We start from the raw sequence: 15,178 nt of genomic DNA on the forward strand, positions 1-15,178 counted from the left end.
TATGTTGATTCACATTTTTCTTACATTGTTCTTCTCCCTCAGTTTTATAGCCTGTTCTTAGCTTAAGTTGAAGTAGGTATTTTCCTAAACGACTGGTCTATTTGTGGTTCTTTTTCTTTCTTTTTTTTTTTTTTTTTTCAGACGGAGTCTCGCTCTGTCACCCAGGCTGGAGTGCAGTGTCACGATCTTGGCTCACTGCAACCTCCCACCGCGTTTAAGCGATTCTTCTGTCTCAGCTTCCCAAGTAGCTGGGAATACAGGCGCCCGCCACCATGCCCGGCTAATTTTTTGTATATTTAGTAGAGAAGGGGTTTCACCGTGTTAACCAGAATGGTCTCGATCTCCTGACCTCGTGATCCACCCGCCTCAGCCTCCCAAAGTGCTGGGATTACAGGCGTGAGCCACTGCACCCGGCCTTTTTTTTTTTTCCCTAAGAGACAAGGTCTCATTTTGGCTAGCTCACTGCAACCTCAAACTCCATGGCTCAAGCAATCCTCCCACCTGACCTTCCCAAATAGCTGGGACTATAGGTGTGCAACACAATGCCTGGCTTTTTTTTCTTTCTTTCTTTGTTTTCTTTTTCTTTGTAGAAAAGCGGTCTCACTATATTTCCTAGGCTGATCTTGAACTCCTGGCCTCAAATGATCTTCTTGCCTCAGCCTCCTAAGGTGCTGCGATTACAGACATGAGCCACCATGACTGGCCAGTTATTTTCCTTTGATAATGCTGTGTTTAAGTTCTGTTTGTTTAAAAATGGACCCAGTGCCATCCCCAAACAAGAGACCGCCTTGTTGCAGGATCCTTCTTCTATACCCCAGGGAAGCGAGCTTTTCAGGGATGGTGACTTCCCAGGATCTGGCCTCAGAGTTTTCAATCATTCTTCATTTTTTCATTGGCACATTACCTTCATAGTGCTCTTTTATTTTAGCATAGCACCTTCAGCTGTCTATGTAATGGTTCAGAAAGACTGTTGCTTTTTACTTCTCCGTTATTGAGGAAGCAAAGTTCTTTCTGATTAGATTCCTAGTCCATTAATCAGTTCTAAATTGAAACTTCCTTTGACTAAGTTACTAAATCTTGGCTCAAGTTAATTTCCTAGATTTTTCAATAAATATATACTAAATGAATGAATTTGTTATAGGACTCTCTCATAAGGTTTTCTTTTCTGTGTCATTTATGTGAATAGATGAATTCTATGGGAGGTTGCTTATTGCTTTCTTAAGTATGACAGTTAGGAAATTCCACGTCTTGTCGCATTGTGGCTTACACTAATCACCTCTTTCAGTTTTTTTTAATCCTCTTTGCCTTTAATTTTCTGCAAAATAACTCCCTGGAGCTACTACACGAATATTTCTATCCTTATGAAACCCTCTGCATCTATCCTTCACATTACTGCTAGAGTAGTGGATAAATAAATAAAAATTTGGCTCTGTCACTTCCCTTCAAGACACAGGATAAAACCCAAGCTGCTGCTTTTTTTTTTTTTTTTTTGAGACAGGGTCTTGCCCTGTCTGTCATTCAGGCTAGAATGCAGTGGTGTGACATGATCACAGCTCACTGTGGCCTCGGCCTCCTGGGCCCAAGCAATCATCCCACTTCAGCCTGCCAAGTAGCTGGGACTACAGGCACATGGCCACCATTCCCAGATAATTTTTAAATTTTTTGTAGAGATGAGGTCTCCCTTTGTTGCCCAGGCTGGTTTCTGTCTTTCAGGCTCAAGAAATCCTCCCGCGTTGACCTCCTAAAGTGCTGGGATTACAAGCATTAGCCACCACACCTGGTCTAAAATCCAAGCTTCTTAACATGGTTTGCAAGGTCATTCATGATCTGTTCTCCTCATGCACACTCCCTGCCTTCATTCTGGAAGTCAATACCAAACTATTTGTTGTCCACCAAGCATATGTTCTTTTCTACACCAGGCTTTTGTCCATGCTATTTTCACCTCTCTCCCTCTCGCCCCCACCTAATTAATGCCTCTCATCCTTCAAGTCTCAATTCAGATGACAATGTTTCTCAGCAGTGTTGAGGTTTTCCCAGTCCCCAGGCCAGAGATGTTCCTTTTCATGTGGCTCCCTAGCATCCTTGGCTTGCACATTCTTAGCTCCTGCCTCATTCTGTTGAAATGTCTTTGGGGGCCGGGTGTGGTGGCTCACGCCTGTAATCCCAGCACTTTGGGAGGCTGAGGTGGGTGAATCACGAGGTCAGGAGTTCGAGACCAGCCTGGCCAACATGGCGAAAACCCATCTCTACTAAAAATACAAAAAATTAGCCGAGTGTAGTGGCGGGCACCTGTAATCCCAGCTATTCGGGAGGCTGAGGCAGGAGAATCGCTTGAACCTGGAAGGTGGAGGTTGCAGTGAGCCGAGATCGCACCATTGCACTCCAGCCCTGGCGACAGAGTGAGATTCCATCTCAAATAAAAAAAAAAAGAAATGTCTTTGTGGTCCACCTCCCACTTGTTTGTGGTTCCTTAGAAGTGGGGAGCCTGTCTCATTTTTGTCTCCCTAGTACCTAGCTCAGTACATTTGCTTTTTTTTTGAGATGGAGTCTCACTCTGTCACCCAGGCTGGAGTGCAGTGGCACAATCTTGGCTCGCTGCAACCTCCGTCTCCTGGGTTCAATCACTTCTCCTGCCTCAGCTTCCCGAGTAGCTGGGATTACAGGTGCGTGCCACCACACCCAGCTAATTTTCTTTTTTCTTCTTTTTTCTTATTTTTTTATTTTTTTATTTTTTGAGATGGAGTCTCGCTCTGTCGCCCAGGCTGGAGTGCAGTGGCGTGATCTCGACTCACTGCATGCTCCGCCTCCCAGGTTCATCGACATTCTCCTACCTCAGCCTCCCGAGTAGCTGGGACTACAGGCGTCCACCACCACACCCAGCTAATTTTTTTTTGTATTTTTAGTAGAGACGGGGTTTCACCGTGTTGTCCAGGATGGTCTCAATCTCTTGACCTCGTGATCTGCCCGCCTCGGCCTCCCAAAGTACTGGGATTACAGGCGTGAGCCACCGTGCCTGGCCACACCCGGCTAATTTTCATATTTTTAGTAGAGACGGGGTTTTACCATGTTGGCCAGGCTGGTCTCGAACTCCTGACCTCAAATGATCCACCTGCCACAGCCTCCCAAAGTGCTGGGATTACAGGCGTGAGCCACCACGCCCAGCCAGTACATTTGGTTTTTGTTTGTTTTTATGTTTGTTTGTTTGAGACAGGGTCTCATTCTGTCACCCAGGCTAGAGTGCAGTGGTGCAAACACGGCTCACTGCATCCTTAACCTCCCAGGCTTAACCTGTCCTCCTGCCTCAGCCTACCCAGTAGCTGGGACTACAAGCATGTGCCACCATGCCTAGTTAATTTGTAAAATTTTTTGTAGAGATGGAGTTCACTTTGTTGCCCAGGCTGGTCTTGAACTCCTGGGCTCAAGTGATCCTCCTTGCCTCGGTCTCCCAAAGTGCTGGGATTACAGGCATGAGTCACCATGTCCAGCACTCAGTGCATTTGGTTAATGTTTATTAAACAGAATTTAGGGTGGGTCCAAAAGGTCAAGTCAGGTAGAAATAACTTCTCTGCATCATTTTCAACTCATTACAATATTGGAATTAATATGAAGCTCATAAGTATGACTTAAAATTTGTAGGAAGAACAAACCCATGACAGGTAAATCAGTATTATTTGTAAATTTTTTATATTAACCTGCTTTTCTGATATTTAAGAAAATGGGCCTGCTACAGTGGCTTATGCCTATAATCCCAACACTTACTGGGAAGCCAAGGTGGGTGGATTGCTTGAGCCCAGGAGTTTGAGCCAGCCTGGGCAACATGGTGAGACCCCATCTCTACAAAAATACAAAAATTAGCCAGGCATGGTAGTGTGCGCCTGTGGTCCCAGCTACTCAAGAGGCTGAGATGGGTAGATTGATTGAGCCCAGGAGGTCGAGACTGCAGTGAGCTGTGATCGTGCCACTGCACTGTAGCCCGGGCAGCAGAGTGAGACCCTGTCTGAATTTAAAAAAGAGAAAAAAAGAAAATGTTGTTACTTTGGAATGAGCATTATTATGACTCTTCTGAAGAGTGCCAAAATCACTCCAGAGAGTTTCCTTGGGAAAGTCTAAATGATACCAAGTGAAGATATTCTTGTAAATGGTGTTACCTCACAAAAGACTTGTTGCAATTTTATATTAATTTCTTAAATTTTAACATTTGATTAATGATTTATTTTACTCTTGAATTTTTTCAACAGGCTGAAAATACCTCCTGATTGCACTACTGAATTAAATCATCATGCATATTTATTTCTCCAAAGCACCTTTGACAAGCATGATTTGGTAAGCCTTTAGCTGTAATTTTCCATTATATATAGTAAAACATTTTTCTATGGATGATATAACTCTGTTCCCTGAGCTATGGGATGTGTATGTTACATAGCCAAAAACTGCTTAACCTCTCTAAGTTAAATTCGCAAAAATATTTTCTGCTGTTTACCTTTGTTGTTTTCTCAAGATGAAAATGTCTAATTTCTAATAGACTCTCTTATAGGTTTTCTTACATACATTTGAGGAATTTTCTTGATAAAATGTAAAATTTGTTGTCATTTATTAAGTAGTTTTAAAAAGCATAGCTTTACTAGATTGGGGGGCTTTTGAGTTGGGAATTATTATCTTAGATATCTAAACATTCTGTATCCTTGTGTTTCTTCAGGATAGAGACTGTGCTTTGTCACCTGATGAGCTTAAAGATTTATTTAAAGTTTTCCCTTACATACCTTGGGGGCCAGATGTGAATAACACAGTTTGTACCAATGAAAGAGGCTGGATAACCTACCAGGGATTCCTTTCCCAGTGGACGTGAGTATAGAGCTCACCTCTTTCCTCTAGAGTTACAAATAGTTTAAAATTATGGTGTATTACATTTGTCACTTTGTAAGCTTGTGAGGCATTATGAAATTCTTCAATCATAATTGCCTCTAAGCAAGATTAGCTGCTGATATCTCTAAGATGAACTATAAATGTTCTATAAATTTATCAGGAAGGGATTGTTTTCTTTTGAATGATATATAGGGAAAAAGTAGTAAGTCTTTGAAAATTGAACTACATTTTAGCACTTTTTTGTTTGATTAAGGGAATTGGAAATGTCATTGCTGTTGCACAATTCTTACTCTTTCAGAATATGGGGTGAAGCATATTTTACTTGACACTGAAGATTCTGTTTTTTTGTTATTGTTTGTTTTTAATGAACTCTTTTTTTTTTTTTTTTTGAGATGGAGTCTCACTCTGTTGCCCAGGCTGGAGTGTAGTGGCGTGATCTTGGCTCACTGCAACTCTGCCTCCTGGGTTCAAGCCATTCTCCTGCCTCAGCCATGAGGTTCTTTCACTCAGCACATTGTGGACATTTTTCTGTATCAATAAGTATACTTTTATATATCTTAATGTTAAATAATGTGTCACAATATGGATGTCCTATAACTTATTTAACTATCCCATAATTATATATTTTTATCATTTTTGGGTTTTTTTCTACTATCACTAGTATTCTGGTGAGGTCTGTTGTAGTTCAGTCTTCAGGTATAGCCTAAGGAGGTTGTTTTTTTTGGTTTGTTTTTAACTTGGAAGGTAGATCGCATAAAATATCCCCACTCTATCTAGATTTTACCAGCCACTCACCGCTTATGTTTGTAAGCTTAGTGTTTCTGGACAGATGGAGTAGAGAGAGGAATTACCCACCATCTTGCATTCTTCTCCCTTTCTTCTCTGCATTAAGAATGGCAGTGTAGGGCCAGGCAGCGTGGCTCATACCTATAATCCTAGCACTTTGGGAGGCCAAGGTGGATGGATCACTTGAGCTCAGGAGTTCAAGACCAGCCTAAGCAACATGGCGAAACCCTGTCTCTACTAAAAAATTTTTTTAAATTAAAAAAAAAATTAGCCAGGCTTGGGGGCACATGCCTGTAGTCCCAGATACTTGGGGAGCTGATGCAGGAAGATCACTTGCACCCAGGGGTTCAAGGCTACAGTGAGCCATGTTTGTGCCATTGCACTCTAGCGTGGATGACAAAGTAAGGCCCTATCTTTCAAAAAAAAAAAAAAGAATGGCAGTGTAAGAAAAACTATGGTTGGGCTCATAGGAAATTAAAGTAGTCTAGACAAAAATTATCTAGGTCTGGTGCATAAAGTTTTTTTAGCTATTGGCTTTTTTTTCCCCATAAATATTCGTTTAGGAACTTTTCACATTTTAAACTCTTTTCTTTCATAGGCTCACGACTTATTTAGATGTACAGCGGTGCCTGGAATATTTGGGCTATCTAGGCTATTCAATATTGACTGAGCAAGAGTCTCAAGCTTCAGCTGTTACAGGTAAGTATCTAGATACTGTTCAGCTCATGATTAGAGATATTTTTTAAGACTCCATTTTCAAATGTAACAAAGAGTAAGAATACACTCATCTTCATTAGTCTTCCATCTACACTCTATTAGTTTTCCTTGTGATCAGATCATTTCTTTTGTGTTGAGGTGCTTGATTTTATTGTTTATGAAAAGAAAGAAAGTAGAGACTTTGCTTCAAGTCTACTCCCTGGGGTTACTCCACTGATGAAAATGAGGAAGAGCTGTGGGCATTAAAGGATTTACCAGTTGATCTTGCGTTTTAATTTTCTTTAAACATTAAAAATAATGCGTATTAACTGTTTTCTGTATTAATACAGCTTTCACAAATCTTGTAAGCCAGGCATTCTTGCCAAGCAATGTGCACCACTTAAAGTAAACCATATGTATGGAAATAGCAAGTTAAGGAACTGATCATTTCAAGAGTTTCTTATATCCCTGTTGGTGGAAAATCTGCCATATCTTATGGGAAGCCCTAGCACAAGAAGACAGCCTTTCTTAAATTGACAGAGCAGGTACCCTTTAAAATACTTAACCAATTAGACAGTATTTAATTCAACACCAGAGAATAAGAAAACAGTCACTAGCCAGCCATGAGGTTCTTTCACTCAGCACATTGTGGACATTTTTCTGTATCAATAGGTATACTTTTATATATCTTAATGTTAAATAATGTTTCACAATATGGATGTTCTATAACTTATTTAACTATCCCATAATTATATATTTTTATCATTTTCGGTTTTTTTTCTACTATCACTAGTATCTCTGGTGAGGTCTGTTGTAGTTCAGTCTTCAGGTATAGCCTAAGGAGGTTGTGTTTGTTTGTTTGTTTGTTTGTTTGTTTGAGATGGAGTCTCTCTCTATCACCAGGCTGGAGTGCAGTGATGAGATCTCAACTCACTGCAACCTCCGCCTCCTGGGTTCAAGCGATTCAGCTGCCTCAGCCTCCCAAGTAGCTGGGACTACAGGCATGCACCACCATGCCCAGCTAATTTTTGTATTTTTAGTAGAGATGGGGTTTCACTGTGTTGGCCAGGATGGTCTCAATCTCTTGACCTTGTGATCTGCCCCTGTTGGCCTCCCACAGTTCTGGGATTACACGCGTGAGCCACTGCACCCGGCTCTAAGAAGGTCTCTTTACCTCAGGAAGGGATGCTTGCTGTCCCTATGATACAGCATTGTTTTCTGGCATGCCTCTTTTACAGTTTACATTTGAAAGGACGGCTAACCCCAAAGTGTGTGTCCCTTTCCGTTTTATGGATCCAGCTCCAAGAGAGTGCAGATTTGAAATAGCATCTTTTAGTTTATAATATGTGACAGTTTATCACAGAAAAAATTAGATGGAATATAATGTTGGCTATATTCTTAGTAATTTTCATTCATTTATAGGATATTTTCCTTATGAAAATATACTATTTTATGATGAAATAAATGTTTGGTTACTCGAAATTCACATTCCAGTCAACTTTCAGAAATGCATTTTTTCCACTAACTGGGGCCCTTCTGCATTCTGTGTACTTCATTCACATACAGCTTGACTGTTGTACAATATGTTTGTTTATAGATCAGCTACTTCATAAAAATAATAAGCAGCAATGCCCTATTTTGCAAAAGGTGGAATGGAGGCTTAGTGAATCTAAGTGGTACATATTTAGTGGGGTTTTTTATTATTATTATTTTTAGTGACAAGAGATAAAAAGATAGACCTGCAGAAAAAACAAACTCAAAGAAATGTGTTCAGATGTAATGTAATTGGAGTGAAAAACTGTGGGAAAAGTGGAGTTCTTCAGGCTCTTCTTGGAAGAAACTTAATGGTGAGAGTTCTCGTAAAATACAATTTTATCCAACAAATTTTTATAGTTACTAGTTTACATAATGTTTTCATAGCCATTGACCTTTTTAGATAATTATTAGAACTCAATGGCCTGTATTAGTCAAGTACAGTCTAAATGTAACAGTAATCCTGTTGAACTGTCTTTGTTTCATTGATATTAGCTATCATTTGTCTTTTTTTAACCAGTGTTTAAATGGGCATTAAATGACTACAGATGTGAAAGCACCTAACACAGTCCTTGGCATGAAGTAAATGCACAGTAAATATTTTGAATTGAATATTGATATCTAGTTCTTACTACTCCCTTGAGTAAGAAGAAGAAGACATATTTCTTTTCTTCTTCTTCTTCTTTTTTTTTTTTTTTTTTTTTTTTGAGGCGAGGCATTGCTCTGTTGCCCAGGCTGGAGTTCAGTGACATGATCATGGCTCACTGCAGCCTCAACCACCTGGGCTTAGGTGATCCTCCCACCTCAGCCCCTGGAGCAGCTGGGACCACAGGCGTGAACCACCAGGCCCAGCTAATTTTTGTATTTTTAGTAGAGATGGGGTTTCGCCATGTTGCCCAGGCTGGTCTTGAACTACTTGGCCTCCCAAAGTGCTGGGATTACAGGCATGTGCCACCACACCCTGCCGACATATTTCTAGATGGGTATTAATCTCGATCAGACCAAATTATGGTATAATGAAGATTGCCAGCAGGTGGCTCTAGAATATACTTTCAGTAATACGGATAGTTTCCTTCCTTTTTAGCTACTGCTTGTACTTTATGCAGAACAAATACATCTTTTATTTTAGGTCTTAAGAACTAAGAAACATAAAATCAATATCTCCTTTGTACTGATAAATAGTACACAGTGTAGGGAAGAATGCCCTTTTATTTATAACACACCTGCACATATACACAGAGATGTTTGTATATTGTTGAAAACTAGTTACTGCAGATATTGAGATTTTCGGTTCTGTTTTCAGAGGCAGAAGAAAATTCGTGAAGATCATAAATCCTACTATGCGATTAACACTGTTTATGTATATGGACAAGAGAAATACTTGTTGGTAAGAAATTCTGTGGCATACAAAAATTACTAATTATTGGGTACATTTTTAAATGACTCTTTGAAAACAAATTGGCTTCAATTGAATGACTCTCTGTAGAACTTCTGTGTGATTTTTTTTTTATTTAATTTTTTTTAGAGACACGGTCTCACTATGTTGCCCTGGCGAGCTCTTGGGCTCGAGGGATCTCCCACTTCAGCCTCCCAAGGAGCTGGGACTGCAGGCATGTGCCACCATGCCAAGCTTGATTTTATTTTTTTTCATCTGGTTTATTCATTAGAATTTTAAGTCTTTTGGCTAGGCGTGGTGGCTCACGCCTGTAATCCCAGCACTTTGGGAGGCCAAGGCGGGCGGATCACCTGAGGTCGGGAGTTTGAGACCAGCCTGACCAACATGGAGAAACCCCGTCTCTACTAAAAATACAAAATTAGCCGGGCATGGTGGTTCATGCCTGTAATCCCAGCTACTCGGGAGGCTGAGGCAAGAGAATCGCTTGAACCCAGGAGGTGGAGGTTGTGGTGAGCCAAGATAATGCCTGCCTGGGCAACAAGAGCGAAACTCCATCTCCAGAAAAAAAAAAAAAAAAAGAATTTTAAGTATTTTTATCATGTGATGATTACATAGGTTTAGATATAAATAAAAATTCATCATTTAAAAAAATTAAAAAAAAAATTAAGTTGGTACACTTAATTGTATGTTAGCTATACCACAATAAGAAAGTTGAGAAAAATGGGTTAGGCATGGTGGCTCACGCCTGTAATCCCAACACTTTGGGAGGCTGAGTCAGGTGGATCACCTGAGGTCAGGAGTTCGAGACCAGCCTGGCCCTAGTGAAACCCTGTCTACTAAAAGTACAAAAATTAGCTGGGCGTGGTGGCACGTGCCTGTAATCCCAGGTACTTAGGAGGCTGAGGCAGGAGAATCACTTGAACCTGGGAGGCGGAGGTTGTAGTGAGCCAAGATTGTGCCACTGCACTCCAGCCTGGGCAACAAAGTGAGACTCCGTCTCAAAAAAAAAAAAAAGTCGAAAAAACTGAACTCCCCTTTTACTTTCTTCTACTTCTATTTTTTTTTTTTTAAATTTTACTTTAAGTTCTGGGATACATGTGCAGGTTTGTTGCATAGGTCAACCCATCATCTAGGTTTTAAGACCCGCATGCATTAGGTATTTGTCCTAATGCTCTCCCTCCCCTTGCCCCTCACCCCCTGACAGGCCCCTGTGTGTGATGTTCCCCTCCCTGTGTCCATGTGTTCTCATTGTTCAACTCCCACACTTATGAGTGAGAACATGCAGTGTTTGGTTTTCTGTTCCTGTGTTAGTTTGCTGAGAATGACGGCTTCCAGTTTCATCCATGTCCCTGCAAAGGACATGAACTCATTCTTTATTTATGGCTGCATACTTCTATTTTTTTAAAAAAATATTTCCTGTACTATTGACTAGAAATTAATATGAAAACCCTGCTAGTGCTTGGTAGTTTATCTGTAATCTGAATCAAGTTTATTTAGCAGGGAAGGGAGTATTTAACAAATATGTTAGCCTTAAAAATGTATAGGCTACTCTAGGCACACTGCCTATGGGTTAGCCCTGCTCTGCAAGGAGCAATAAAATCAAACAAACAATAAAAAAAGTACAAAAGAAGAGCTGAAAAGACACTATGAAATACAGTAGAAGGAGGGTTATATGGGCCAGGTGTGGTGGCTCATGCCTCTAATCCCAGCACTTTGGGAGGCCGAGGCGGGTGGATCACCCTAGCCTGACCAACGTGGAGAAACCCTGTCCCGGGCTGGTCTCAAACTCCTGGGCTCAAGCGATCTGCCCACCTCAGTCTCCCAAAGTGCTGGGATTACAGGTGTGAGCCACAGTGCCCACCCCTGAATTTTACTCTTGTTGGAGATCATTATAGCATAGATGGAATATTTAAGAAATTTTATAATAAGCACCGAAGAGTGGCAGTGAAACAGAACAAAAATGACCTTACTGTAAAGAGTCATTTGCTTTTTGTTTTTGATTAGTGGGGAGAAAAGGTGTGGTAGAAAGAAAATAGATTTGAGAATCATATCTGAGTTTAAATTTTGATTTGATAACTTCTTAGATGTGTACCATGGGCAGCTGACTTAATCTTTCTAGCCCGTCTCCTTATCTGCAGAATGTAAACAATGCATGTAGAGGGCCTGCCCCCACACATTAGTCACTCACTAATACTAGCTTCCATAGAATCTTTTTTTTTTTTTTTTTTTTTTTTTTTTTTGAGACAAGGTTTCACTTTTGTCACCCAGGCTGGAATGCAGCGGCGTGATCTCGGCTCACTGTAACCTCTGCTTTCCAGGCTCAAGCGATTCTCCTGCCTTAGCCTCCCCAGTAGCTGGGACTACAGGCACACGTCACTGCACCTGGCTAAGCTTCCACAGAATCTTAATCACCATTTTTAGTCTGCAGAATCAGAAGATACTTATTTGTCTATACTTTCTTTTTTTTTTTTTTTTTTTTTTTTTTTTGAGACTGAGTCTTGCTCTGTCGCCCAGGCTGGAGTGCAGTGGCGCAATCTCTGCTCACTGCGAGCTCCGCCTCCCGGGTTCATGCCATTCTCCTGCCTCAGCCTCCCTAGTAGCTGGGACTACAGGCACCCGCCACCACACCTGGCTAATTTGTTTTGTATTTTTAGTATAGGCAGGGTTTCACTATGTTGGCCATGCTGGTCTCGAACTCCTGACCTTGTGATCCGCCCACCTCGGCCTCCCAAAGTGCTGGGATTACAAGCGTGAGCCACCGCGCCCAGCCTTGTCTATACTTTCTACTTTTAAAACTGGCCTGAAAAGTTATGCTTAACCAGTACTTTTAAACTTAGGAAGTCCAGGGAAGGAAGTAATAAGCTATCATGACTTAATATATCAATATTATGATACTTATATTTTTCATTATCTTTTTCTTTTACAAGTTGCATGATATCTCAGAATCGGAATTTCTAACTGAAGCTGAAATCATTTGTGATGTTGTATGCCTGGTATATGATGTCAGCAATCCCAAATCCTTTGAATACTGTGCCAGGATTTTTAAGGTTTGTTGCTCCTACAGACTATGACTGAATGTAACTTCATATGGACTTTTTATGGAATTGCAGTGTGGTGTTTCCTAACCACAAAAATGCAACAAAATCATGTGTATTTTAAAAATACATACATCTTTACCCTATTCCTGAAGGTTCTGGTTTTGTTCTAAAGTGGTAGAGTCTCAGACATACATATTTCTGAAAGTTTTCGACATGTGATTGTGAGGTGCATTCCTGATTGAGAACTTTTACATTAATGCAAGCTCTTCCCAGCTGTTAAAAGTTACATATGTCTGCCTTCTCTCTGATGAAAAAAAAGAGTAGTACATATGGATTATATATTGCCAAATATACCAAGAATAACAGCCAGAGGAAAGGGATAAATCTGAAGCTTAGAAAGTCTATCAGTCACTTAGGGATTATCAATAAGATTCAATAGGAGTAAAAAGCTATATGTACAAAGGTGTTTATTCTAGCATTGTTTTTAACAGGAAAAAACTGGAAATAATCAAGATGGCTAACAATGGACGATGATTTACTGAAGTAAGATAAAATAATCTAGTGGAATGTTAGGCAATATTTAAATTAAAAAATAAAAACAATAAATGTAAAATTAAAAATAGTTTTGAATTCTGAAGAATATGGAGGACACAGTATTACATTTTTAAGTGGTTATGTCCAGCATGACTGCGACTATACAGACACACATAAAAATGCATGTGCTCAAGGACTAGAGGTGATATTAAAAAATGAAAGTAGTTTTTATAAAAGAATTTAGGTGGATTTCTTTATATTTCAAAATATGTGTGTTTAATGTGTGTTTTTAATTACATGTTTTTTTTAATTGTAATAAATCTAAGGAATCAGTATAGGTCTGTTTTGTCATCAGCATTGGAAAAGTGATCTGGATCTTATTTATTATATGAGATTTACCTAGACCACTGCCAATCTTTGCCTTTTGGTTCACTTTTTCGCTTTGAAACTACTGTTGCTTTGCCCATCTGGAGGAAATGCTTGGTTCACATTTAATTAAATAGTAATTTTTGAACTTGTTATCAGATTTTGATTTCATTTTTTATTCCATAGCAACACTTTATGGACAGCAGAATACCTTGCTTAATCGTAGCTGCAAAGTCAGACCTGCATGAAGTTAAACAAGAATACAGTATTTCACCTACTGATTTCTGCAGGAAACACAAAATGCCTCCACCACAAGCCTTCACTTGCAATACTGCTGATGCCCCCAGTAAGGATATCTTTGTTAAATTGACAACAATGGCCATGTATCCGTAAGTACTTGCTGTCTTCATTTTCATGTTGCATGGTTCATAACATTGCATGCCATTATTAGCCATGAAGGGAATATCTTTGTCACATAGGAATTGTTCAGCAACAGAAAGATACTTTGTAATGAGAAGGTACAAATTTGAGTAAATGCAAGTTTGGTTTGAATGCCATAATAAAATGATATAAACAGTGCTTCTGACAATATCTGTATATTTTTGAGCAGGCTGTAACTATCTTAATAGAATAGTACAATAAAACACAACCCCCCACCCAGCATTAAAAAATAGTTTTACTGGAATAAAATGGGTTTGGCATCATGTTGTTTTATGCTTATAAAGCATTTTCATATGAACAGAAAGTTTATATTTTTCTGTTTTTGACCTTAGGTATATGAAGTTTTCTAAAATATTTTATTAATTTATGTTGAAATTGTGGGTATGCTTCAGTTAGGATATGTCTTTTTTAAGTGCTGTAAAGAGTAGTTGTAATTGGAATTTCTACTGTATAAATGTTTTACATTAAGTGTTACGAGCCACAAATTTCATGTACATTTATTATATATCTATACATGCATATGCACAAGCACATAACTGTGGTCATCTCTGTAGTTTACTAACTGCCTTAAAATTGCATGGTTCTTAATGGCATTCGCCTCAAGTAGTGTGTTTGTATAAATTCTGTTTTGTAACAAAATAGTTTTTCAGGCAGTGCGTTTCTCAGGACTTTATAGCTTATTCTACTTATTCTTATGTTAGTCTCTAAATTATTTTTCTTCTTATGAAAACTACAGTGTAACACAGAGTAATAATCAAACATTGCTATAAACCAAGAATGACATTTTTCAAAAAGGTGTTGATTTGTACAGATTTTTAAAGTCAGTTAACTTTACTGCTATTTTATTACCTAATACTTTTTTTAGATGCAACAAACCCTTGAATTTCTATTTGTATTCGAAGACAAGTCATTCCTATTATTATAGAATAACCAAAACCTTATTTATGTTTTACCTTTGCTTTAAAACTCTCATGTATGTTATCTACAGAGAGGATCATTACAGAGACAGACTCTCCCGAGACATGGGCCACACTGATAGAATAGAGAATTTGAGAAAAATCTGGGTCTTTCTAAAAACTGCTTTGTAAGTTACTTTTTCTTTATGACTTCTGTGGGATTTTGTTGATATTTTCTTAGAGAATGACCAAATCTCCTTTCTTGCCATAATTAACATTTAGTAATTATGTAGAAACGCACTGCTTGGTCAGGCTTCCTGCCTAGCTATATATTACGTTGTCTTCCTTACTACATAAATGTACTTCTTTAATCTTGTGATTACAGTAACTGCAAGTGTGTTTTTACATCTGCATTTTTAAAACATTTTACTGTAATTCTGTTGTGTGTGTGTGTGTTATATGATAAATGTACATACATGGACCACTTGTTTATATGGTTAATCCCAAACTACTTCTCATGAAGCATCTCCCTGTTGCTAAGCATACTTTGCATCTCTCCTTTTTGGTGGGTGGAGCCTTGTGTATGTTAAAGAATCAGATTTGATTTATAAAATAACAGATGGATTCCA

General features: G+C 39.1%; 1 protein-coding gene across 22 annotated transcripts in view; it reads left to right on the plus strand.

Moving 5' to 3' along the window:
• Positions 1-15,178, plus strand: part of RHOT1 (ras homolog family member T1) — an 83,226-nt gene that overhangs the window by 52,207 nt on the left and 15,841 nt on the right. For 12 of the 22 annotated variants that reach the window (NM_001288758.2, NM_001033568.3, NM_001288754.2 and 9 more), the window contains 8 exons: positions 4,239-4,323; positions 4,697-4,842; positions 6,248-6,348; positions 8,062-8,192; positions 9,182-9,265; positions 12,202-12,321; positions 13,399-13,601; positions 14,642-14,737. In NM_001288758.2, the coding sequence (NP_001275687.1) occupies positions 4,239-4,323; positions 4,697-4,842; positions 6,248-6,348; positions 8,062-8,192; positions 9,182-9,265; positions 12,202-12,321; positions 13,399-13,601; positions 14,642-14,737 (966 nt within the window). The remainder of the gene's footprint in view (positions 1-4,238; positions 4,324-4,696; positions 4,843-6,247; positions 6,349-8,061; positions 8,193-9,181; positions 9,266-12,201; positions 12,322-13,398; positions 13,602-14,641; positions 14,738-15,178) is intronic. The other 10 variants (NR_110083.2, NM_001033567.3, NM_001033566.3 and 7 more) reach the window with 1 other exon arrangement.

This window comes from Homo sapiens, chromosome 17 (genome assembly GCF_000001405.40).
Source record: "Homo sapiens chromosome 17, GRCh38.p14 Primary Assembly".
NCBI classification, from domain to species: domain Eukaryota; kingdom Metazoa; phylum Chordata; class Mammalia; order Primates; family Hominidae; genus Homo; species Homo sapiens.